Source organism: Homo sapiens, chromosome 2, assembly GCF_000001405.40.
Source record: "Homo sapiens chromosome 2, GRCh38.p14 Primary Assembly".
NCBI classification, from domain to species: Eukaryota; Metazoa; Chordata; class Mammalia; order Primates; family Hominidae; genus Homo; species Homo sapiens.
The window spans coordinates 49557533-49585017 of NC_000002.12; the positions used below are offsets into that span (position 1 = coordinate 49557533).

The 27485-nt window shown below is 36.8% G+C and overlaps 1 protein-coding gene across 3 annotated transcripts in view; it reads left to right on the forward strand.

Moving 5' to 3' along the window:
* Positions 1 to 5855: 5855 nt before the first annotated feature.
* The window catches only part of LOC124906005 (uncharacterized), a 95669-nt gene continuing 74039 nt past the window's right edge, over positions 5856 to 27485 (forward strand). For all 3 annotated transcript variants that reach the window (XR_007086317.1, XR_007086316.1, XM_047446571.1), the window contains exon 1: positions 5856 to 5937. Coding sequence is in view for 1 of the 3 variants with exons in the window: in XM_047446571.1 (XP_047302527.1) it covers positions 5912 to 5937 (26 nt within the window). In the remaining 2 variants the exon portion in view is untranslated. The remainder of the gene's footprint in view (positions 5938 to 27485) is intronic.

A 27485-nucleotide genomic window follows, 5' to 3' on the forward strand; every position in this document is an offset into this window, starting at 1 on the left:
GAAGTTGGGCAAATTTCTTCAGTTTTCCAAGTATTGATAACTATAAAATTGGGATAATAATGATGTTTCATCACAGGATTGATGTAGGGTTTACATGGGATAATAAATGTTCAGTATATCCCCGGCACAGAGTATTTGCTCAACACATGTCAGCTATTATCATTAGCAGATAAAAAGATTGAAAATGAATGTCAAAGAGGACTTTGAATGCCTTTCATAGGAGTGTAAATGTTACTCCATAAGCAACAGGAAACCAGTGAAGTGTTGTGAAACAGAACAACTTAAGCATGCAGAATAAATTATTAGTGATAATCTATAGTTTAAAAGTGTTCTCAAACAGATTATTTAATTCAACATTCACCAGTCTCAGGGGCTGGGGGTGGTGGTGATATTCTGATTACCGTTCTGCAGATAAATAAACAAAACTTTGTTTAAATGTCTTGACCAAGAGCTCATGGGCCTTAGTAGCATAGCTGTGATTTAGATTCAGGACTTCTAGTCAAAGAACAGTATAATTTTCACTGTAACACAGCTGGCAGATGATTTTAAAACACATTGTAAAGAGGCTATGTGGCAAAAGTGGGGGCAAAGCTGTTTTGGTTATTCTAAATTTGAAGTAAATTTATTTTTTAAGTTTTAAATGACAGTGGGAGAAACATAGGTATCCACTGAAGGTTTGGGACGCTGCAAGATTTGGTGTCGTTCCCATCTTTACCATTCTTTAGCTTTGTGAGAAGTCACAGACAAGTCATTTAACCTTTATGTTCCCCTGTTCGAGAAAAGAAAAATATCTCATTCTTGGGAGTACCCAAGCAATCAAATAGCTCCCATGCCACCTGCCACCCTCCAAAAAAGCCACAACAGAAAATTCAAAAGGCAAACACACACATCATTGTTGTTTTAAAAACAAGAACTTCCATTTCCAACCTTGATTTTTTAAAACCTGTAGGAAAAAATAAAGTTAGGGCCACTGGAATTGAGAATCTATCAAATATTTTTGTTTGTTTATTAGAATAAAGTCAAATATATAGAAAACTGGGAAGATTTTTAATGCCGTTAACACACGTTAACCCATTAATAGTAGCAATGTCGTGTTGTTTTCCATTTATTGACACTTTCACTAGAAATATTTTGGGCACCCTTTTTCCTTCAGTTTGAACTGTCTTGGCTTGTTATAGATATCATATGTACTGAATGATATTTTTCCAAGTCCAGTACTCTATCCAGAATTAATGCTTTGTTTTGTTTTGTGTTTTCCAGTTTTAGGGCTTTGCTTTCTGTGCTCCACCATAATTCCAGACATATAACTTTCTTACTTAGAGGAACAACAGTGAAATCCTAAGGTTTTTATATTATTCTCACCTTCCTTTATTGTTCTTAATCCTTCTAGAGGTAGTTGGGGTTGGGATGGAACTGCCTACTCATTCCTTTCTTTTTCTATAATCATCTGAATTTATATCTGATAATGCCTGGAGGAGAATTTTGAGATTTCTAAAACTTTTCTCAGATACAATGCCATACATAGTAGAAATTTCTATAGGATTATTTATTTTGGGGGAGTTTGGTAACCAACAACATATTGTAAGTCTTTATAAAATTACTGCTTGAAAAATAATGGAACTTCGACCTGTAGAATTTATGTAAAACCTGGAACATAAGATCTTATTTAACTGCTTGAAAAAAACCTGTATTAAGAATTTATTTTTCCCCATCTCCTTTGCCTAAATTAGATAATCTGATATCTTTCTCCTGAAAGTCATAAGAAACCAATGTGAAGAATCTTTACGTGAAAGAGAGTATACGAAGAATGATGAGATAACAGACATAAATATGTTAGAGCTTGGTTTTGTTGGAATGTTAGAGACAGCACAGTGTTTTATATACTTGTGAGACAACTTGGCTCACATGATAATAAAATCTATATTACAGAAAAGCAGTCAGCATATGAAGGAATTTTATTATTCTGCAAAGGTAATCTTGATTTATAATAAATTAATGTTCTTTGCCACACTAGCCACAAAGATGCTTAGAAACTAAGATAACTAGAATCAGAATAACCATTTGAAACCATGTCGTCCAACATTCTTATTTTATACAGGAGAATTCTGGGGCTCAGGAGACAGGTGAAATGGTTAACCAAGGTCACCATATTTCTAGTTTGAGGCTCCAACTAGGACCCTGACATACTGATTCTAGTGCACATCCCCTGCATTAAACCTTATTTTTTTTCAGTGTGCTCCATGTTTTGTTCACCTCAAAACAGAAAGACCTTATCTGGGATTGAGTTTTCACTCACAGGTGAGAACAAGCAAGATTCTAGACTAGTTCCCAATCTGAGTCAATTTGAAGCAAAGTACTGGATAATAATATATGCCAACAAATAAAACAAAACTAATAAGAAAGGGATGTTTTGTGGGCCAAAGAAGTGACTTTCACACAAGTAGAAGTAGGATCAGTGTTGAATGCACTGTAAGATGGAGGAGCAAATGAATTACATACAAAGATACTTCAAATTGATTAAGGCAGCAAAAGACTAGCCAAGGACATTCACAGGCAACCTTATTAAAACATTTCTTCATTCTTCTTCACAAAAATCTTCCAAATCCTTGACCTGGAAGGCAAAGGCATCCAGGTAAAGAGACAGCTCATACACCATTGCACATTGTCAGAGAGCAATGCCTTTGCTTTCCAAAACCCACCAAAATTAAAAATGTAAAAGCCAGGTAAGTATGCTAAATATGGTTCATGTGACATTATTGTGCAACAGAAGCAATGACAGATGATAAAAGGAAGGCTAGATTACAGTTTGAAAATCTGTGTAATGAATGCTTCTTCCTAGTCACTGCCCAAGCAAAAGGGAGAGAAAGCAGTACCAACCTGAGGAAGGCTTCCCAGCAGAATGAAGGAGGGAAATATGCTTGGCGTAACTGTTAAGTTTTATCTTAGGGGCTGAAGGGCACTAGGCATTCATTGTGAGTAAAGAGTGGCATGCTATTTTAGAAGCTGCTTTCAGGAGAGAATACATCTGTGAAGTGGAGGGCTGTCTTCACAAGTAAAAAAATAAAATAAAATTGAATGGGTTATGTTGATGTGGAAAACCTTGAAATCAAGTCCAAAAGCAACCTAGAATACTTGTCCCCAGTACTTGTATTTTCTTTCAATACAGACAGCCGCTTTCTCTTCACTACACAAATTATAATCAACCACCAGGCTTAGGAAGCAGTGTGATGTGATCAAAAGTCACTCGACTGCCCTTCTGTCCTCCTGCAAATATACTCACTGAAGTGAAGTTTCTCACTGAAAAGTTTTCCATCACCCTTGTCCTACAGTCATGTGTGACCTCTGAAGCCTCTTGTCTTGTGTTTCTATCATCACCAGTCAAGTCGCTCCAAAGCAATGGAGAGAAAGAAAACAGGTGAAAAGTAAGGGCCACCTGTGATGACAGATGAGCAAGGAAATCACCAAGGCAACTGAAGGGAGGCACATTTGGAAGTCCTAAAAGAAGCCAAAAATGAAAGGGCTTTACTTTTCCCCAAGGAAGTGCACAGTTTCTCTCTACCACCAAATGTTCAGTGGAGTTTTCAGTGTTTGGGAAATGATAGTAACTCCACTCTGAAAAACCACCAACCTGATCATTGGTGTTTCCATGAGCAACCATGATAGGAGGAGCTGCATTAATGAAATCACTCATAGCTAGAGGGAGATGAGGGTTATGAGACTGAGAGCTATATATTAGCAGGTTTGGTGAAGACTAAAACCTTCCATAAAAGAAAAGAAGGCAATGCTTTAGGGACTATTTAATGTACTCCATGGCCATAGGGGGGAGGCTAAAATTATTCAGGTTAGGCTGTCCATTCTATGAAAATTTATGCCAAAGTGAGGCTCTAAACTAAGGAAATGGGTTTGCACCACTGGTTATCAGACTTACCAATGACTGGTTTATTTGGTCAAAAAGGTCCAAATATGGAGGGGAAGATAAACACTGATTGCCCTCTCTATTACTAAGGTACTCAGCATATGGACATCTTATAAACTGATCTTATAATCATTCATTACTGATAATGAACTAAGCCTTTTTCACAAAAGAAAATGAATTTGTCACTTCCTTCAGCCAAACATCAAATATTTGGAAGGATTTTGACAGATTCTATAGATTTATTTATTTAGGTGAAAACACCAGTAGAATACTAGGCAGATAACCAGAGGATTCATATAGATTTAGGCAAGTGTAGCAAATTTGCAAATAAAACTTTCAGTGTTTTGTTTATGGATGATCAAGTATCTCTTGGGGGAAAGGAAATCTGTGTGAAGGTTTGGCTCAGTGTCAGTGGGTCAGATTAAACTGAGAGGCAGACTACAGAGTTGTCATTCTCTGGTGCTCGAGTTTAGAGAGAGTAGGCTACAACCAAAATAGTGAGCAGAAACCAAAGAAAACTGCTTCACTATGAGCACTATGGAATAAGTGTTAGGGTTTTGGAGGGAAGGGTCAGTGAATTACAGTCAATTTTCCTCTTCAGAATTCAAAACTAATCAAAAGACAGACACAAGAAGTATGCAGTGATTTAACAAAAATGCCTATATTATGAACTGTTAAAAGATAAACATAAGCACATTAAAATTTTAAAAAGTTGGAGGAGACAGCAGTTTATAAATCAGGCAGCTCCAGACCACAAGCAGTTTCTGGGCTGTAACAAAAGGGTGTGGGGGCGAGGGTGTTAGGGAAAGGATTTTACAAGGTGAACACAGGTGCAAGACAAAGAACACTTTTGCAGAAGCCTCATTTGGAGCATTCCAGTGGAAAGTCTTCAGTGAAAAGTTAGTTGATGTTTTTCGATTAAGCTCAAGTTTTGTTTTACCATTTACACTGGTTTTAGTTTGCTTATGTAAGAACACTGGGCACTAGAGCAGCTTTAGCCTAATGGCCTCCCACTTATGTGTTTTTATTGCTGTTGTTGTTTTTAACAGAACCAAACCTAGAATGAAAGACAAAGTTTCTAGCTACACCCAAAAGGATTTTACTAACGCTTTATCCCTGAATTAGGCAGACTTACCTAACCAGCTCCTGGCTCTGCTGGACAGCTGCATGATGCTTTCTGCATTTCGGAGAGCAGACTAGAGATAATTCATCAGGGACTGAGCCACACAATCCCAGTGACCACTGCCAAACCTACTCATCAGATATGTGCTTTACGTCTCTTCTCCAAGGAAGAGGAAATGTGGAGGGGATACTGGGAGTATGGTTGGGTGTGCTGTGTTTCTTCCCAAGGAAACATGATGAATGGGGAATACGTAGTTTTCTCAACAATACAAAGAATACAAGGAGTCAGCAGATGAGGGGCTAGAAATAAAAAGGGACAATGGAGATAGTGCTCTTAACGGACTTAGTCCTCCCCACATATGGTATAAATAACTGAGGGTATAGACCTCAGACAATAGTAGTGGGAATTGTTTTCAACCCCATTTATGGCATGGAAGATAATGTGTTCGCCCAAAGCCCACAATATGCTGGAGTGCATGCCTCATGTTAATAAAATGTAAAATTATGTTTCAAGTAGTTTAAACCTTATATGTAGATAATTACATACAATTAGAGTATCAATTATCCTTAAGGTCTCCCCATTTCAACCATTTGGAATCAATGAGAAGTATTTGGTTGAATAAACATTTCTTTTTAAAGATTCATTACATTTCAGGCACTGTTTTGACAAAAGACATAGTGAGATAAATTAGATACATTCCCTGCCTTAAAAAGTTCCTATCAAATAGAATTTGTAGACATGTAGTTAAATAGTTGCAATAAAACAAAAGTGCATTGACAGAGGCCATGGAAAAGTAGAAAATAAAGAAATGTGTTCAGATCTGCTTGGACTTCAGCAAAAGCTAAAAGTATCCTTCAACAGGCTCCTGAAAAATGAGATGTCATCCATTGGAACTGAAGTGAGTAAAGGCATTCCAGGTAGCAGTAGCAGCAATTCTGATAAATAATGGAATTATCTGAGAAATTATAGATAATGCAATTACTAAAAGTAGAATTAAACTGGAGGATTGACAAGAGGTAAAGGTCATGATGTAGGTTGAGGCAAGCTCTTAAAATATATTGTGTACCATGTTCGTGTTATTATTACCACAATTTTATTACTTTGGTTTGCTTTTGCTCTCTTCTTTAGCAGTAGATATTGGCATCTCTTGCTAAAAATTAGATGGGGCCTAGATATCACCTTAGAACCACTGCAGTTTGTTGCACTCAGAAGGGTAAATAAACAGCGAAAAGTCCCAATCTTTCTGGGAGGAAGGGGAGGTTCCATTCTGAGAGGAGTTTAATACTGAGCTTGGTAGTTCTACTTATATGATGTAGTAGACATTGGTCTCAGTCCTACCAGCATTTGTGGGGCTGATTTGCATGGCAGGAGGTAATTTCATGACAAAAAAATAGATTTAGAGATCTACAGTACTTTCTGACAGCCTATAACTGACCTTGTTGTTGGCAAGTAATTGCTCCCCCAATTACTGTTACAAATGAGCTTGGCTTCAACACTGATGATAGCTGCAGAAGAGAAATGACCTCCTCCACTAGTGAATGTTGGACCAAAACTTTAAGGTCAGTTTTATCATTTTGAGAAGTCTCTCATTTTCATATAGTGCAAATTTTCTGAAGAAAAAACTAATCTTTCTCTTTGTTCTGCCACAAAGACTCACCATTCCTGAACCACACAGATGCAAGCACCACTTGTCCACAATAGCTGATTATCTCTGCCACCTCCTCCACATGAGGTGAATGAAGTGAAAAGAATTTTAAATCAAAGGACTTCAGCTAGCTTGGCTGGAGCCCGTCCACTAAGCAAACCACTGGGGAATGGGCATCTTTGTCTTTAATATTTGTCATTATAGATAATGACACTGCCTTAGTACAAGTGACTGCTATGGAAAATGGGATTCAGTCATTTTCTTTACTTGGGACTCAAATTATTAAGTTAGTTTGCACAGAGCCTCTAGCATTTATTAACCACACTCAGTGTAACGAGATTGGACTGATCCAGTGGAGCTTTTCTTTATCACTCAACATGCTTACGAGTACTAAAGAACCCCGGGAACATATAAGGAAGGAAAGAAAGATCCTTGAAAGAAGGAAAACTGGACTTTTGAATATCTTGCTTTGCTTGTATAAGAACCACTCAAGGATTTTGCACTTTTAGAACTGACTGGGACAGTTTTTGAGCTCCTAAAATCTGTAGAGTGTCACTCTGGTTTAATGAAGCTGCTATAGATTTCTCCAATAACCAGGAAGGTGACACTCCATGGTTAGAATCAAGGGAGATAAACATGATCAAATGTGCTTTGTAGCAGTCCCTACTGGCAATGATATAGTGAATGATTAGCAAGGAAGCTATTGCAAATATTCAGGTCCAGATTGAGCAAAGCAGTAGTGATGGGGAGAAGGAACTATATCAATACTTCCTCACTGAGTATATCCACATACCATTAATGTATATTTTATTTTAGGGCATTATTCCTTGGGAAATATTTATTGCAATCCAAGTATGACAAGTTGGCTCATGTCTCAATGGATCATTTATTTGAAGGAAATGAATCAGGCCACGTCCCACTTTTAATGACTTGGTTTGGAGCCATGTTCTCTGGGGAATGTCAGTTTCCATCTTCCTCCTAACTTTATTCCTGTGTGAAGAGTCTGGATTTTCATCTTAAAAGAAATATCAGGTGCTGGTTCTGTATAGAGTAAGTTGCTGCCAAGATGAAAAAGCTGCCTAGAAGCAATAATTGAAGGGTCAGACAAAAATAACTGTCCAAATGGTGTTCTTATAAAATGTTCCAGAGTAACTTGTAGTTAGAAAAAGTTAGACTTGAAGGCAAAAAAAAAGGTGTAATCTTGAATTTTGTCTATTGATCACATGCAGAAGAGCTGGTTGTATATATTTTCATAATACTTTGGTAGCCAATACAATTTATGGCAAAATATTTTTCTGAGCCAAAAGATAAACTTATAAGACAAAGAATTGTAGCCATGTATTTAAAAAGATAATGCTTTGTTTTAGAAATGAAGTACTTTGCATCATGCATTGGAATGAAAATAGAATGAACAAACAACTAAGGAAATATAGTTTGAAGTTATTCAGCAAACACATGATAGTTATTTTCATTGTTTCTGAAATTATGTTATATATTTTAGGAAGGTGCACACTATAAGCTTCTGTTGTGATAGATATAAAACAACAAAGACAATAACAACACACATACAAAAACAAACCCAACCAAAACTATAAAATGTGTCACATTCCTGGAGGGAAGAATAAAAGCCCACCAACTTCACAAAAATAAATAAAGTTTTTGTGTAGATTAATATCTACCTATTAATGGCTCATATTTCCTCAGAAAAAAACTCTAATTAGAAATATTCTGTAGATGAAGGATGGGAAGAGATAACCATAAGAAATTCAACTTAGTTCTCTAGTACATGCTATAAAAGCTACATTTTCACCACCACAAACTAGTGAATCAAAGGTATTGAGGATTCAAGCATTTTTTTCCCCAGCAGTGGATGGGCCACGTGCTCCAATCCAGCTGTCTTTTTATATTAGTGAAAAGGCTGAAGAAGCAAAGTGAAAAGGCTGAAATTTGGAGAAGCAAATTTAATTTAAAGTTAGAGAGCAATATATAATAGTGGTAAAAGAGGAAGATAATCCTCAAAACTTTCAACTTTACCCTCTTTTCTCCTCCATCTTGGTATTTATAATTTATTCCTTCATAGGCTACCAATACACTATATTAATTTGCAATCAGAAGAAGACTAGTTAAGTAAAAAGGGAAATGGATTCTAAAAACAAAATAGTATATAATGGAATATAAAGGCCAGCTAGTTTAAGTCTTAGGCAAAGACTAGAACACCTATAAATCTCTCTCTCTCTCTCTCTCTCCCCCCCACTGTCCCTCCTTCCCTCCCTTTCTCTCTCCCTTTATTTATTTAGGAACTTTATTTTATTTAGGGAATTTATTTTATTTTATTTAGGAAATTCCTGACCACCCCAGACATTCCAGGTTTCCATATCAGTGCCAGTGATGCTCAGAAATGAATGACCCTCTCTTGCTCAGTCACAATTCTAAGAGAGAGAATTAGACTGTCTCAGCTTGGGTAATCAGGTATGGTCAGGGGATGGGATCACAGTTTAAATTTAATGATGGTTGGTGGAGAATCAAACTATGGCTCATAGTTCAGTTATTGAAGAAAAGCAGATGACTCTTGAATTGTAGAGATACCCCAAAGAGTGTTTACTATGCCAACTTGAATAACGTACTAGAAGTACAATGTCTAAAATGCCTTAGTTTATCAAGAGCTATACGTATTTCTTATTTCTTTCTGATATTTCTGAATAAGGAATAAGAAAGTAGGATGTCACCCTGCAATGGAATAGATACACTGATTTATTTTCTGTCAGTTAGTGTGTATGTGTGTTTAAGATCAAATTATTTCTTGACTTTCTTCTACAATAGAAAATAGAAAGGCAGTCAGCACCAAAGTCAGCTTCTTGCCCTTGACTCTACCACCTTGTCTACAAAATTCTTTTACCATATGCTCATTGCAATGTTCAAGCAGATCTATATTATGCAGGAACCATATGTTGATTTTGCAATAGCATATTTTCTATCTTTTGAAACTGAGCCCACCATATTGTGGACGCAGGCAGTGGGAACCTCAATATCCCTCATTTGAATGTCAAGATGGCATTAAACATGTGTGCAAATGGTGCAGCTAGATATATGATTGCTTGGCTTGAATAAGTGAATGTAAATGACTGACAGATAATTCTACCTTGTTGAGAATCCCATGAAGATTCTCAAGATTAGAAATCAACCCAAGGCAAAAGTCTTGCTCTGTTTTGGGATCTTCAACTGTCTTTTGATCTCTGCTGAAAGGCTCTTGCTTTTTTCCTATAGTTTCCAACTTAAAGATGTTTTGGAATTGACTTTCAAAATGACAGTTGTTGGAAGAAAAGTGAAGGACAGCTTAAAAATTAAATTTGAAAAAGTAAAGCTGTCATATTGAAATTATGATGGATTTTCCTTCACAACTTTTTACAGAGATGAAGCTTTATTTTGAAAAGTTGATAACTGTTATCCTTATGTTCATGTGTCTACATATATGTTCTATGTATTCTCATACTTTTAACTTTAGTGAAAGTTTCTTTTTAAAGGAATAAATTATTCTGTTTTGGTTGGGTGCCTAAAATGAAATCACTCTTCTCTACCCTAAAGGGTGTATCTGATAAACTAGTGAGAAACATTGAATATTGTATATTTTTGAAGCAAAAGAAGGTAATTCACAGAGATTTTTTTAAAAGGTCTTTTTTAAGGTTTTTAGAGAACTTGTTAAAAAACACCCACAACCATATTTCGAGTCACATTTCTTCTCCTGTCTCTTCTCTCCACAAAATGCTCAGACTGCCAATTTAAAGGAAAAACATAGTCAAGCCAGATAAAAAGCATTCAGATGAAGAGACAGTTAATTGTGGATGGTGGGGTGGTGGGGGATGGTGACCAAAGCAATCTGTTGTTTTCTTCAGAATGACTACATTTAGCCATTTCTTCCCCTGACCCATGAGACATACAGTCTAGCATTCACTAGTCTTAAGTCCCAGGTTGTAACAGTGTTGATCCACAGTGGCGAATCTTCCCCATCGTCAACCTTCTTTTGGTCTCAGTCTTGGGAGGGGAGCTTGGGAAGGAGGAGTTAGGAACTCATAGATAAGAAAATAAGGAGAGAAATGAGTAAGAATGTGAGCAACTGGAATCTGTGGTTTAACAATTTTAAGCAGTAAGCAAGAGCTTCTGTCTCTTCATCTAACCCAAATAAAACCATGAAGAGAGGCAATGTATTAAAATGTGATTGCTAAAGGCACTTTTCAGCTTCATTTTTAGCTCATGGCATGACAGCCCACTGAGTTGTCATGAGAAACAAAAATTAGAATAAAACATAAATTCAAACTTGTATAAATGGTGCATTTTAATGCTTCCTTGCTCCTTTATGATAGCAAAAACTAGGCTTTCATTCTGAGTTTTGACCATCTCCTACTCACGCTTTGACCTTGGTTCCACTCATAATTATTACAGCATACAAACAGCTAGCTTTCTTATCTGTATAATGGGAATGCTAACAGTACTTACTTCATAACTACTATTGTAAAGATTGAATAAAACAATGGATATATAATACTTAGTAGAGGGCCTGGCTACTAGTAAGAGGTAAAAGAGTATTAACTATCTTACACTCATGATTTTTTTGTTAGAAATTATATACTTACATGTATAATATAAACTTATAAATATAATTATAATCTGTTATGAGTCAGAAGAATTGGATTCTAGTACTGGCTTTGCCACTAAGAAAATGGAAGTGCTTCCGATAGTCACTTAACACTTCTGGCCTCATGTGATGAAATGAAAGGTTTGGGTTAGATAATTGATATGGTAACTTCTGGGACTAACATTCTGTGTTTTATTTCTCCACTGCAAATGTTTTCTACATTGAGAATGGCTGAGCTAGGGATCCCCCTCCACAACATAGTTCTCTTTTTAGAAATGCATAGATAAGAAGCTTTTCTTCCAAGAATCAGTTTGATGGTCAGCACCAAGTGTCACTTTCTTAGAAATTTCTGAGTCCATGCCCAGTAAAAAAAAAAAAAAAAAAAAAAAAAATGTATTTCCTTACAATTGAATATTTTTAGAAAAAAAAAAGCTAGTACAGTAACAGTACTGGATGAGCAGTGGGGTCTGATGGGAGTATGAATCATATCACAGGAATTATGGAGCAGTACAACAGTGGCTGAGGGAGAGAGCATACTGTGTAGAAGCAGATCTGGGTGGAAAGCCAGCAGTAAAACTTCTTCTGGGATCTCTAGGCACCAAATCTGATTTCATATGTGGTTCTGGCAGCGGAAGCTTCTAGGATCCCAAAAGGATATGGATAAAAGACAGTGACTAGGAATGGGTTGGAGGAAAGTATTGGCTAAAAAACAGACAGTCAGTGGCTTTCATTCAGGGAGTTTGTCCATAGGAAGCTAAAAATCAAACGGGAGTGTGTTTCAGGATAGGGGTAACCAAGAGCAAATCCAGTCCTGGAAACTGTGGTAACATTTGGATGCAGGAGAGAAAAATTACAGGGACAAATTCCTGGACTCCACTGTTCACCATCATGGCAACTGAATATTGAAAAAAGAGAAAACAATCTGGAGCTACCCTTTATTTCAAGGGACCACTCTAATATAATAATTGATAAGGTAACTTCTGGGTCTCATATTCTTCTGTGTCTCCCTTCTCCATTGCAAATGCTTTCTACAATGAGAATGGCTGAGGTAGAGATTCTGTCTCCAAAATGCACAGATCAGAAGTAAGCTCTCCTTCCAGAAATCAGTCTGATGGTCAGCACTGAGTCCAATATGAGTCCTGAGGGAGAGGTCTACATACCAGATACTTGTTCTGAGCCACTTAAAGATGAGGTTTTGGTAAAACAGATGGGCAAAAGGATAATATGCAATCTTGCTCTGATTTGGTCAAGGAAAGAACACTTTAAAACATCAAAAACATTGATCTATATTTGACCCGAATTACAATCCTGTCCTTTTTGCTGTGATTACAGTAGAAAGTAAACTGGGTAACCACTACAACAGGTTCTTTATTTTCCGAGTCAAGGTAGCACTAGAACTAAATGCCATGGTGGCCCTCTCCCCATTGTTGCATGCAGATATCTTAGCAGGATGTTTGGTGTCTAGGTTAAAAGTAGATAAATTCTGGGGAAGGTTAAAACCCTAATGCGATTCATGACCATGACAGAAAAAGCAAAGCAGAGTTTGAGTCAGCTTCAGAAAGAAATGTGGAAGAATGAAGGCAAAAAAGGAAAGGTAAAGGAACCAACTGGGAAATATGCAAATTCCTCCATTTCCAAAATAAACTTTTCACTCTATCAATATGTCTCCCTTTGCACCTCCACTGACAAACCCCAAAGAAAAACCTGCCCCTTAGTAGACCCAGCCTCTTACATGGAGCCCATAGTCCTGTTGAGGGGACTGGAATGTGAGAGGAACAGCCTCACCAACTGGAAAGAAAACTAGGGCTATCAGCACATATCAATCAACATAGTTATTCATCTATAAATATTAATAGACACTCCACGAACACTTGACGTTTGAAAACAAAAAAAAAGAGACTCAACAATACAAGCAGGATAAAGGACCAAGATTAACAAGTGAAACAACTAATCATAAGCATAAAAATTTTAATTCATGGAAAAGAATGTTATAAAAATTCTCCTTAATCCACAGATAAATTATAAGCAGATTGCACCCAAATAAACAAGAACAGGATACTATATTGTATAGTATTGTCAAGATTGTCAGATAACCAAAAAAGTTATTTTTTAAAATTAATTTTTAGTTTTTAAGGGGTACATAGGAGGTGTATGTATTAATGTGGTACATGATACATTTTGATACAAGCATACCATGTGTAATAATCACATCAGGATAAATGGGGTATCCATAATCTCAAGCCTTTATCATTGATTTGTATTATAAACATTCCATTCATACTCTTTTAGTTATTATTAAAGGTACAACAAATTATTGTTGATTGTAGTCACACTGTTGTGCTAGCAAATACTAGCTCTTATTCTAACTATATTTTTATACCCATTAACCATTCCTGCTTCTTCCCACCCCTATCCTTCTCAGCCTCTGGTAACCATCATTCTACTCTCTATCCCCATGAATTCAGTTAATTTATAGATCCCAAAAATGAGTGAGAACATGTGATGTTTGTCTTTCTGAACTGGCTTATTTCACTTAACGTAATGACCTCCAGTTCCATCCATGGTGTTGCAAATGCCACCTTATTGCTTTTTATGGCTGAATAGTATTCCATTGTGTATATATACCACATTTTCTTTATCCATTCATTTACTGAAATTCACTTAAGTTGCTTCCAAATCTTGGCTGTTGTGACTAGTGCTGCAATAAATACAGGACAGCAGACATCTCCTTGATATACTGATTTCTTTTCTTTGGGGTATATACCTAGCAGTGGGATTGCTGGATCATATGGTAGTTCTATTTTTAGTTTTTTGTGGACCTCTATACTGTTCTCCATAGTGGTTGTACTAATTACATTCCCACCAACAGTGTACGAGGGTTCCCTTCTCTCCACATCCTCTCCAGCATTCGTTATTGTCTGTCTTTTGGACAAAAGTCATTTTAACTGAGGTGAGATGATATATTATTGTAGTTTTGATTCACATTTCTCTGATGAGCAATGCTGTTGAGCACCTTTTCTTTTGAAAGATGTCTATTCAGATTTTTTGCCCATTTTCAATTGGATTATTAGATTTTTTTCCTATAGATTTGTTTGAACCCCTTATTTGTCCTGGTTGTTAATCCCTTGTCAGATGAATAGTTTGAAAATATTTTCTCCCATTGTGTGGGCTGTCTCTTCACTTCGTTGATTGTTTACTCTGCTGTATAGATGTTTTTTAATTTGATGTGATGTCATTTGCTCATTTTTGCTTTGGTTGCCTGTGCTTTTGGGGTATTACTCAAGAAATTTTTGCCAGACCACTGTCCTGGAGAGCTTCCCTAGTGTTTTGTTACAGTAGTCTCATAGTTTGAGGTCTCAGATTTAAATCTTTAATCCATTTTGATTTGATTTTTGTATGTGGCAAGAGATAGGAGTGTAGTTTCATTATTTTGCATATGGATGTCCAGTTTTCCCCAAGAAGAGCTTCTAAACAATGAAAATAGTTTGAAGAAAATACGAAACATATGTTTTAGTAATCATGATTTCTAAAAATCTCATGGTAAAGGCCAAAAACTTTTATTTTCTGGAAAAATAATAAAAGATATGGCAAATCAATTTTGAAAAGACAATGTCTATTTAGTATAAGGTCCAGGAAGGGAAAGCTGTGGAAATGGATGGGAAGAAGCTATTAAAGAAATAATAGATGAAAAATTTCTGAGCTAAGAAAAGGACCAGAAAGTATTCAGATGAAGAGGATCTGCTGAATGCTGAACAAAATAAAATAACAATAGTTAATGTTATTGCATTCTTTATATGTGTTGCAATCTTTATAACAATTGCACAACATATTGAATTATTTAATCTTCAATCAACCCTGAGAGCTGAACATTCTCATTATTTTATGATCAAATAAAGCAAAGAGAGGTTTGCTTTGTAACTCACACAAGGTCCCACAATTAGTAAGTGGCACATTCAGCATTAGAACAGAGAGTGTAGCATGAAAAACCATCCTTTCAGTCACAAACGGACTAAAAATATAGTCACAAATTAACTGGAGAGATAAAATACCCAAGTTTAGATAGATCATTGTGCGTGTCAAGGATAAAGAAATGACACTTACTGGTTTGCAGTGAGAATACAGTTGCGTATGAAAGGCTAAAATCTGAGTTACTATATTAGTTTTCTTATCTACATACTTGATGTTGATAAGAAATTTTGAGTAAAAATAATTTTGATCCCAAAAAATTACCATATGGTCCACAAAACCATCAATAAATTCGAACAAAAGGATATTTTCAAACCCGTAAAGTTTTTTTTTTTTTTTTTTTTTTGAGACGGAGTCTCGCTCTGTCGCCCAGGCTGGAGTGCAGTGGCGGGATCTCGGCTCACTGCAAGCTCCGCCTCCCGGGTTCACGCCATTCTCCTGCCTCAGCCTCCCAAGTAGCTGGGACTACAGGCGCCCGCCACTACGCCCGGCTAATTTTTTTGTATTTTTAGTAGAGACGGGGTTTCACCGTTTTAGCCGGGATGGCCTCGATCTCCTGACCTCGTGATCCGCCCGCCTCGGCCTCCCAAAGTGCTGGGATTACAGGCGTGAGCCACCGCGCCCGGCCTCAAACCCGTAAAGTTTTAAAAAGTTTATTCCCTATGTACTCCTTTCTTAAAAGCAACAAAAACAAACCTTAAGAAACTACTATAGCAATATGAAAAATGCATCCAAGAACGACGTGGGATTTAATAAATAGTAGAAATGATCTTGGATTTCAATAAACATCCGGGATTATAGTTGTTCAGTAAAACCAGAAAGCATTGGTTTAAATTAGAATGAGGAGTATCTTCAGGAATGAAATGAATTCTAATTACTGGAAAGGAAGAAAGACTTAATGTCTCTTCTAACAAAAATAGGAAAGAATGACAGTAAAAAAATGTTATAAAAAGTGGCAGTGTGGTGAAATCATGGTCTTTGCATAAAGCAAACCAAAATTTTCAACTATTTTGAGCAATATTTTTGGAGCACTAAGATAATCCATTTGCTTTTGATGCTTGGAGCATTCTTCAAGTGGTGCAGATTTCTAAGACGAGATTACATTTCTTTTCCTACAGATCCAATCATACTACTTGGTTTTACAATTAATAATCTTTACACAATCATATTATACATCCTAATAAATGTGATTCAATGTTTAGAATAAAACTAAAGATACAAAGAAGACTTTGATATATTTACAGGGGAGAATATAAATGTTACAGAACTTGGCAGTATAAAATATTGACGCAGCTGACACAGTGAGGAGGTAAGGAGGGGAAGGTATAGAGGTGTGGGTGTGTGATTTTTCTCATCTTACAATGTGGAAATTCAACCGATACAAAGTCAAGATAGTGGGTTCAGAAATAGAGGGTTAAGAAAAGTATTAAACGTTAAAGTATAAATATGAAAAACATTAAAAGTAAGGTAAGTTGGAGAAAGAAAAAAAGGGTGAAGGGAGAGGGTGGTAGGATAAGTATACACAATTTATCACATTTTAGAGATAAGAATTGATAGTATGTAGTGGTTAAAAATCAAGAAGACCTAATAACAGCAGAATTAAAAGTGATTAAGGGTGAAGAAAGAGGGAGGAACTGGGGGTCAAGAAAGGAAGAATTTGACTTATTTGATCCTCTTCTATGAATATACCTGTGCTATATTTTTCTGTTAATGCAGGTATTACATTTTTGACTAAATATCTTAACAGATATTTTTCTGTTAATGCAGGTATTATATTTTTCTGTTAATGCAGGTATTATGTTTTTGCCTAATATCTTAACAGGCATATTAGCACAGGATGCAAGAGTTAATAATTTTATGAAGGCCAGCTTGATTACATCACTCATTCTTCTTGGCATAGAGATATTGTCCAATACTGCTTTTATTTGATATTCAACTCTTGAGAATTACTGTTGTCTTTGGGTTTCACATATTTTCAATAATGATTTTATTTAATACTCATGCAGTGGGTAAAATTAATACCAGTTAATTTTACTGGTAGAAGATTTTAAATTTAAAAAGAAAAAATGAAACATAATCTGGATTTTTGTATGAATCCATGTTAAGCTTTGCCATCAGTACCAGACTGGTCCCTCTACCATTTCCACTGCTTCCCTTTCAGTCAGGATTGCATTTGCTCTACTGCCTTTTAGACTATCCTAGAAAATTGAGGAGATTCTAAGTCATCCCATTCATGACGATTACTAAGGTTTTTGTCAGTCTACATAAAACTTAGTCGTGTGCCACAGATAACTTTAAAAAACCCAATGTATGCAAAGATTTTGTTTTGTTTGTTGTTCATATGTATTCTTTCTGTTTTGTTTCTGAAATATTTCAATATGTAAGACCAACTATTGGCATCAGGTCTATATCACTAAACATAAATATTAAATGTTGTACTTGAAAAAAACTTTGTGAGAGTGTTAATTTGTAGTAGTCTTAGAAACAACATGTAATAAATGCTACCCTATATGCATTAGGAACTATGGATGAATGTTTGCTAAAGAGAGGATTATTCATATTTTTTTAAAAAGGAAATGGCTCAGTTGTCATCCTAAATACTTTATTTTCCATCCATGTTTACACCATGATGTTATGCCATTAACTGCTCTAGCAAACATAAAAAATTAGGTAGCCATGGATTGTAGTTATTCATTCTTCAATAAAATGAATTATTTTTCAGATATGATTGCTATAATGCTTACTTGTGAACTCTATCTATGCTAAGTAAAACAGAAGAATCATGTTTTCAATGATGGCTGTAGAGTGATACAGAATAAAACATCTCAGTACAGGAGTAAAAGACACAGAATCCAGAGTTGAAAGCTGGCACATGGACAATGCTATTCACTGCGAGTCTTACCAAAAACATCCCATAGGTTCTGGTTCTGTAGTTTACTGACAAAAATGACTATTTCATTCACTTAGAGTGAGGCTCCAGAGCCACCGAAAAAGTGTATGTCAGTTTTGCTAAGGCGTGGCCAAGACACAACCAGAGAATCCCTTTTAAATAAAGTATTTCCAACAAATTTCATCTCTTTGTGCAAATTTTCTGCCAAAAACACTGGGAAGTTATGGCCCTTATCCAGAGATTGTAAAGCATTAAAACAAATGTTCCAGGGTCCAACTTCTGCAGCATTTGCATCCCACCAAGTCACCTCTAATGTCATATCCTTCATCTGATGTTTCTGACACATGAATTACTTATTCTGACAAATTTCTCACCTTGTTTGTCTTAACAAGTGGGATAAATAGAAAACTAAAAGAAGCAGAGAAGAGAACATAGAGAAAATCAGCCTAACAGTTGTTTGTGGCAGTTTAGCACAGAGCAAAGCCATTACTTTCAATGTCACAGAAATATATATATTAAAAATATTACGGGCCGGGCACAGTGGCTCACGCCTGTAATCCCAGCACTTTGGGAGGCTGAGGCAGGCAGATCACCTGAGGTCAGGAGATTGAGACCAGCCTGGCGAACGTGCTGAGACCCCGTCTCTACTTAAAATACAAAAATTAGCCTGGCACGGTGACAGGCACCTGTAGTCCCAACTACTCAGGAGGCTGAGGCAGGAGAATCTTTTGAACCCAGGAGGTAAAGGTTGCAGTGAGCTGAGATCACGTCACTGCCCTCCAGCCTGGGCAACAGAGTGAGACCCTGTCTCAAAAAATATATATATATGTGTGTATATATATATATGTGTATGTGTATATATATATATACATATGTGTGTGTGTGTGTGTATATATATATATGTGTGTGTGTGTGTGTGTGTGTATATATATATGTGTGTGTGTGTATATATATATATTACCAGCAGCAATGGAGTTTAGATATATAGTAAAAAGATGCATTGGGTTATAGATGTGGGGAATTCTCACAGCCCCACAGACAATGGGAATAGAAAAAATATTATGTAGAAATGGGCACTGCAATGAAGAGAATTTTAATATTCAGAGAATTTAATGTATTTAGCTTTCAGTATATTAATATAATAAAGCAAAATTATTTGGGTCAACAGAGGAGGTGAAAATGATATTATTAGAGCATTAGAGCTTGATTCCTTTGAATATGTTGAATGTAACAATGAGTGCCATGATGAATCCTAAATTTGTTTATCTTTAGTTAAGTGAAAGTCTGTTTAAAATGCTTTTATCCTTAATGTATGAGCAGATGTCATTTTATTTCCAATAAATGGTTGGTGGTCTACAGGAAACATCTAGAAATATCTACAAATTCTCTCCTCCTACTCCACAATTTTAAAATAGCAGCCTCTTATTGTGTAAACTCTGGATTTAGAACATAAATACAAATGCTCCTGTGAGGTTTAGAACACACAGTTGTGAATATAACTGTTGGCTGAGGAAGCCCCATGATGGAACAGATTGATCTGGCAGCTGTGGGGAAGAGTGTCCACTCTGTGTGTGAAGTTAAGTACAGAGAGAAAAGGAAACTCATCATCTGCAAGGGGAGGGGATAGGCCCCAGTGGGCACTACAAGTAAAAGATCAGAGAAATTAGGGAGAGAGGAAATGAAAAGTTAAGCAGGTAAAATGGACGTCTGACAAATTCCTCTGCATTTCATATTTGGTAAGCATGCTAAATAAACTTCAGTAAGCATACTAAATACAATGGGAAACATAAATTCAGGAGCACTGGTTCTGATTTCATGCAGTGTAAGTCTGTGTCTCAAAAAGTGCCTCATTTATTTAAACAACAGCATACCAGTTTCTGAGCTGTCCTTTGTTGATCTTTTTCAGATGATTAAAATTACATTATTAATTTATTATTTATGTTCTCAGTCTTTTGACCTATTGACAAAGCCTTCACTTTGTTTCTACTCTATTCTACAGAGAATACCAGCTCTGTGCAAGACAAAGAACTGGTCATATTGTAGGTTCTAGGAAGTACAGCAAAGAACGTAGTCTTTGTGTAAAGAGAAAACCTGGGAATAAAAAAGTTAACCGTATAAAAGAAATTATGCTAATACTAAGTGACATACAGACTCTACAGCGTCTACAATAGGGAAACACTGATAATGGCCTACAGAGGTCTGGGAAGAATTCAGCTGACTCACAATCTGAAGTCGGTCTTGGAGGATGGTCAGATTTGGATCAATGAAGGTGTTGAGAGATGGCATCAGAAGCAAAGGTGGTAGCATAAACAAAAGCCTAAAGGCAGAGATACATAACGAATGAGCATCAGACAGTGATGGAGCCAATCTGACTGGAGTGGAAGGATCATTAATATGAGAAAATCATTAATATGAGATAATCTGATAAATGTAATTTTAGAAGGGATGGTGGAAAATAACATCTCCAATTTCAGACTATCTAGCAGGGGATTTTGTCTAGATTTTGTGCTCAGTCACATGAGAAATCATGATCATGGGTATTCTAACCTCTGTGTTTCATCTGGCTTTTACCATCTGTCTATCCTTTTTAGTCAGATGGTATAACAGCCACCCTTACTATACAATATAAAAAAAAAGTCAATGAATTAGTAGTTCTGTATAAACTATCAACCATATGGTCCAAGTATCTTGGTTTAGGGGATATGTATTTGATTAAGTGTTTAAGAATGACATCGGACAAAGTAGCAAACATAGCAGAATGGCAGGGGATACTGGCCATGGTGATGAAACAGGAAAGGTTCCCTTGTCCCCTTTGTAGGGTGTGTGACAGGAGAAGTGTCTCACTTCTTCAGTGCCCCACTTCTCAAACCTCTATGGAACCATACAGACAGGCAGGTTGTGGGGCTCCGACTCCACAGCAGTGACAAGGGGTGAATGTTTACAGCTCATGAGGCTCCCGTGGGAGGGTGTTATAGGGTGCTCTTTTAGTTTTGCCCTTTCAGTTTTGTTGTCTATAGGTGGCTTGTGTTAACCAGCTCAATTAGACCGTCTACTTTGTCGCAAGGACAGAGGGCTTTCTGTATCCAGGGTTCTTGCCTTGGCGTACGTACCAGAAGAATCAGATCAAACGTGGGCTTGGAGAATGAGGGCAAGGTTTTATTGAGTGGAAGTAGCTCTCAGCAGATGGGGGAGCCAGAAGGGAGATGGTTTTGCCCTGGAGTTGGGCCGCTTGGTGGTCCAGGCTTTCCCCCAACTGACCCAGCCAAACTCCATGTCATTCTGCCAGTTGGTGGCCTGCTGGCTATGCTGGTGCCTGTTGGTGCATTCCTCTCAACGTCCAGCCACCTGTGTGTTCCTCCGCTGATGTGCCCCTCTCGATGTCCAGCTGCTTCTTTGTCTCTGCCTTGCTAGGGTCTCAGGTTTTTATAGGCACAGGATGAGGACATGACAGGCCAGGGTGGTCTTGGGAAATGCAACATTTGGGCGGGAAATGCAACATTTGTGCAGGAAATGCCTGTTCTCACCTAGGTCCGTGGGGGTGGAGCCCTAGCCAGGGACCATGTCCTCCTCTACCCAGCACTTCCCTTCTGCCTCTTCTGTATCATTTAAAGGGAACACACTCTTCCCTTCCCAACACTTCCGTATCAGTGAGAGCTGAGTCCAACTGCTTAAAGCATCTAAATAATGATGATTAATTGTGGCCCACCAACAATTTACTTCTTTTAACTTTTACGTCTGTGATTGTTCCGAAGTTCAGGCTGTTGTGCATAGGCCCCAAAGAGTCCAGACTACCTTGCTTCTACAAAATCCAGGGAATATTCAGAATTAATCTAAAGTATCTTCTCTCTTTAATTATTGCACAACCTTAACTCAATATCCACAATCTTCAGATAACTAGACTTTGTCTTACTATACTTTTGAAAAAAGGCAAGCCATATTAAAATGAGCATATGCTATTTATTTGTTGAATTGTAACAATTGATATATCTTGGGCTCAGCACATTACACACCTCATTCTCTTGTACTTGCCTTATCTAGAGTACTGATAATTGAAATTGATTACCAGAATGATCACTCCAAGAACCTTTAGTATTCTTTTTTATATCAAAGAACTGTTCAATCCTCATATTTATCATGGAATGACTGGAGACTCAGAGACTTGGAATGGTTCTCAACAACATATGATTATCTTGGATAGTTCACCTTTCAAGATTTTACCACTTTTTCCTGTGGGAATGATTTCTTTAGCTACATTCTAGATCTGGCTTTGTTCCTGAGCCCCAATTCCACGTTTACACCTGCCTGCTGCTATTTCTATGCTTTCCTTTGAACCAAGAGAATGAATAAGAATTTGTCTGCTCTCACAGGATTCATATTTTGGCTGAGAAATATTATATATGTAAACAAATAGGCATGAAAGAGACTGAATGTTTATGTCTACACAAAATGTATGTGTTGAAATCTTAACCTCCAAGGCGATGGCATTAGATGGGGCCTCTGGGAGATGATTTGGTCATAGGGGTGGAGCCCTCATGAATGGAATTTGTACCCTTGTAAAAGAGACCCCAGAGAGATCCTACATCCCTTCTGCTATGTGAGGACACAGCAAGAAGTCAGCAGCCTGTAACCCAGAAAAGGTCCTCACTAAAACTCAACTGTGCTAGCACCCTGATCTTGGACTTCCCAGTTTCCAGAACTGTGAAAAATAAATTTCAGTTGCTTATAAGCCACACAGTCTGTGGTATTTTGTTATAGCAGCCCAAATGAACTAACACAAGGAATCTGCCGTATTATCATATGGCACCGAATGTTTTGGGTGGTGCTAATTTTGACAGGGTTTTTAGAGAAGGCCTCTTAGATAAAGTGTCAAGTTATGAATATAATGAGGGAGAAAGGCAAAGGAATATCTAGTCAAAATGTTTTTCAGTCCAAGGAAACTATATGTCATGAGACCCTGAAATGAGATCTGCTTTGTGAGTTTGGCTAACAACAAAGAGGCCAGTGGGAAATAAAACTAGTATTTGGTTACTACTGCCTCTAATAAATATGATGGGAACTTGGTTTGGGCCTTTCTTCTGCCTTCTCAAGGCTGCTACTCTAATTAAGGTCTCAGAACTCCATCTTTGCACCATCACGGGAATGTTGTTTTTTTTTGTTTTGTTTTGTTTTTGCAGGTTGCCTAGTCTTCCAGCTCAGTTGCTTCTAAGCCATCTATTAAACACCATTACCTCAATCTTTCAAAGTATTGTTTCCTTAAACGGCTCTGTTCCAACGTTTCTACGCGTCCTAATGCTAACTCCTAACGCAGGCTTCATGAAGATTTTTCATTAACCCAGCCCATGCTGAGGGATCTCTTTTCTGAATTTTTGTGGAAATACTGGTTTCCACCCCACACACTTTAATACAATGAACATTTTTCATATGCATCCATATTCTCTTCTCACATTGTGACTTCCTTGATGCAGCAACACATTTGTTTTACTTTACCCATTTAGAAAAAGAAAAGCAGATTCAGATTATTATTTATGGTATTCAGCATACTACTAGTTACTCTAAGATTACCATAATCTATAGAAGACTCACCTGTTTATCCTTAATTAAATATAAACATGATTCGTCGCAACTACCTATCTTCTCAGTAGTGCATTCTTTTCTCTGAAAATCTCCTATTGGTAGGAACAGAAGAATGTTAAAATTCCTTTGAAAAAATAGCTTTTGAAACAGTCATATTATATACTTATTATAACTAAAGATATTATAATATAGTTATAGCCTAGAACAACATGGGGATTAAGGGAATAATCCCCCCACCCCCAACACACACACACAGTTGAAAATCCATAAATAAATTTTGACTTTTCAAAAACTTAACTACTGTGATGGTTAATATTGAGTGTCAACTTGATGGATTGAAGGATGCAAAGTATTGCTCCTGGGTGTGTCTGTGAGGGTGTTGCCAAAGGAGATTAACATTTGAGTCAGTGGACTGGGAAAGGCACTACTGAGTGGGTACAATCTAATCAGCTGCCAGCATGACCAGAATAAAAGCAGGCAGAAGAACATGGCAAAACTAGACTGGTTTAGTCTTCTGGCCTACATCTTCCTCTCATGCTGGATGCTTCCTGCCCTCAAACATCAGACTCCAAGTTCTTCAGCTTCAGGACTCGGACTGGCTTCTTTGCTTCTCAGCTTGCGGACAGCCTATTGTGGGACCTCACCTTGTGATCATGTGAGTCAATACTCCTTAATAAACTCCCCTTTATGTATACATCTATCCTATTACTTTGGTCCCTGTAGAGAACTCTGACTAATACAACTACTGTTAAACAGAAGCCTTACCAATAACATAGTCAATTAACACATATCTTGTATGCTGTATGTGTTATATACTGTTTTCTTACAATAAAGTAAGCTAGAGAAAAGAAAATGTGAAGGAAAGCATAATGAAGAGAAAATATATTTGTTATTCATTAAGTGGAAGTGGGTCATCCTAAGGGTCTTCATTATTATTTTCACATTTAGTAGGCTAAGGAGAAGAGAAGGGGTTGATTTTGCTCTCTCAGGGATGGCAGAAGTGGAAGAAAATCTGCATATAAACAGACCCTCCAAGTTCAAAACTTTGTTCAAGGGTCAACTCTGTGTGTGTGTGTGTGTGTGTGTGTGTGTGTGTGTGCACTCTATACAATTATTTTTATTTTTAATCATATATAACAAATATGATTAAAACACCTTTATATAAAGTAGATATTCATTTTAATACTTTCCCACATAAGATAACATCTAACATTTATTAAGCACTTGACAGTTGTCAAAACATACATATTTTATCATATGTGGGTCTCAAAGTACCCTATGAACTATTAGGCAGGGTGTTGTTTTGTCATCATCAGATAAATTAAATGACTTGCTAGAGATCACTCATCTAGTAGGTGACAGGACATATAATTTCTAAACCATTGCTTTTTCACTATAAACCAGAAATAATCTATGTTTCTTCTGAATATGCCATCATTCTGCCTTTCTCATTGATACAGAAAGAGGGAAATTTGGAGAGAGAAAAATAGGGAAAGAAGGACAGAGGGAGAGGAAGAGAAGTAGAGGGAGAGAGAGAGTTAAATTTTTTAGCAGGTTTATTTCATATATTTTCAAACAGTGTTCTGTAGTAGACCAGATGTGCGCTAAAATTGAACTGAGCACAGAAAGCTCAGTTGCTGGCACATATAGGCCCTTAATAAGTGTTTGCTCATGAATGAAAGTGTTGCCATATTTTTCTAATTTGAGTGGATTTTTTAAGACACTCTATCTCTCTTTTTAATGACGGAGATTTCACTCATCTTTTCTCACATTTGGTGGACTAAAAATAACCAGGCATAAGTTTTATTTTTTTACGACCCTCATATCCACTGAGGTTTTACGAGGGAACTCAGAAAATATGCTTTTGGTTACTGCCTGACTGCATCATGTCAAACCTTGTGGTTACATTCTAGAAATTAGCAATGTCATAGCGGAATTATCCATGCTCTCCTTGGCAGCAAGATACGGCCAGTGTCACATTAAAATAGCTAAGCATGATGGATGATAATAAAGGGGAGACTTGGGGGAAGCTGTTTATGGGTTGTTCTCAGAACTGCCTTAAGTAAAGAGAAAAGAATACTCTCACATTTTCATGGTGTATATGCCAAATGCACAGTCACCAATATTTGATAATTACATGAAGATTTCTAAACACTCTAAGAACTTCTCCCATCCTTGGAGGTGCAGCACCCTGTTATGTCTTTGGGGAAGCTTTCCAGCAAAATCATTTCATATAGATTGCTGGTAAATAAGTTGAGATCCAAGACCAGTGTTTATTTGTTTTCTCCTTTGACCAACATATGTAGCTTTATTATTAGGATCCAACATATATGTTGATATAGCACTGATTTTTTACAGCTAGCTGGGAAATGGATTATAAAGAATATCTTATCTGCTCTTTACTTACATCAGCTTTGTGTAATATGATCAGTCCTGCATAGCCATCTCCAGTATTTCATGGGGTGTCGTACATTTTCACTCTGTAGCAGAAAAACAGGTAATTAGGTTTTTTACTTTTTGTGCATGTCTAAAAATTCTAAAAATAATGACTTTCAGGTTATGTACCACTAGCAACTAATAATCACTTGTAAAAGGTCTGATATTGTACCTCAGCCTCAGCCAATTTGGCAAGTCGTTAAAGTCCTAAAAATATCACTTCTGTTGGTCATTATGTTCCCTCTGGAGACTGTATGCCCTTAGTACATCCGCCATCAAAATAGAAGCACTTGAAATTCTCAGCTTATATGTGGGTCAATATTTTGGGATAGATTCACATTCCTATCACAATATCAGAAATTATCAGAGTCACAAAAGTTCATCTGAGCTCTTAATGAATATGTGATCATCTGTCTATTTACCTATCTCTCAACTGTCTACTGTCTCTCTGTTTTTCTCCATAACTGAAAGAAAGCTGGATTTCTGTTGTACAGAATTTTTAGGGATAGATCATATGTTATTAAAGATCTTTTTTTAGTCTTCTCTAGCTGTCATAACAAAATACCACTGACTGGGTGGCTTAAACAACAGAAATTTATTTTCTCACAATTACAGAGGCTGGAAGTCAGAGAGCAGAATCCCAGCATGGTTGGATTTGCCTGAGAAATCTCTTTTGGTTTATGGATGGGCGCCTTCCTGTGTGTCCTCGCATGGGGGAGAGAGAGAGAGAAAGAAAGAGAATGAAAGCAAATTCTCTGTTGTCTCTTATTATAAGGACCTATCAGATCAATCATATACGGACCCTACCTTCTAGACTCATTTAACTTTAGTTACTGACTTATGGGCCTTATCTCCAAATATAGTTACTTTGAGGATTAAGGTTTCCAGACATGAATTTTGAGAGTACACATTTCAGTCCATAACCATCCTGTAATGGTTTGACACTTTAAAGGGTTAGCTTATAAGTACGAGAAAAACATATACACAAATAACATTCTGAAGAAAATTAAATTTTCTTCTCACAGCAGAGATGGAGGGTAAATCTACTGGACAGTGGATAGCTCACCTTTATATTTATGACAATCACATTTCTGTTTATTACATCATCTAAAATATAATTATTTTGTACACAATTGTGCAATTGGTCTATCAGTAACTTTTCTTTAAAATATTATTTGCAGCTTACTATATGCAGAAAATTCAAATTGAACTCCTTCCTTACACCATATTCAAAGATCAACTCAAGATGGATTAAAGACTTAAATGTAAATTCCCAAACTATAAAAGCCCTGGAAGACAACCTAG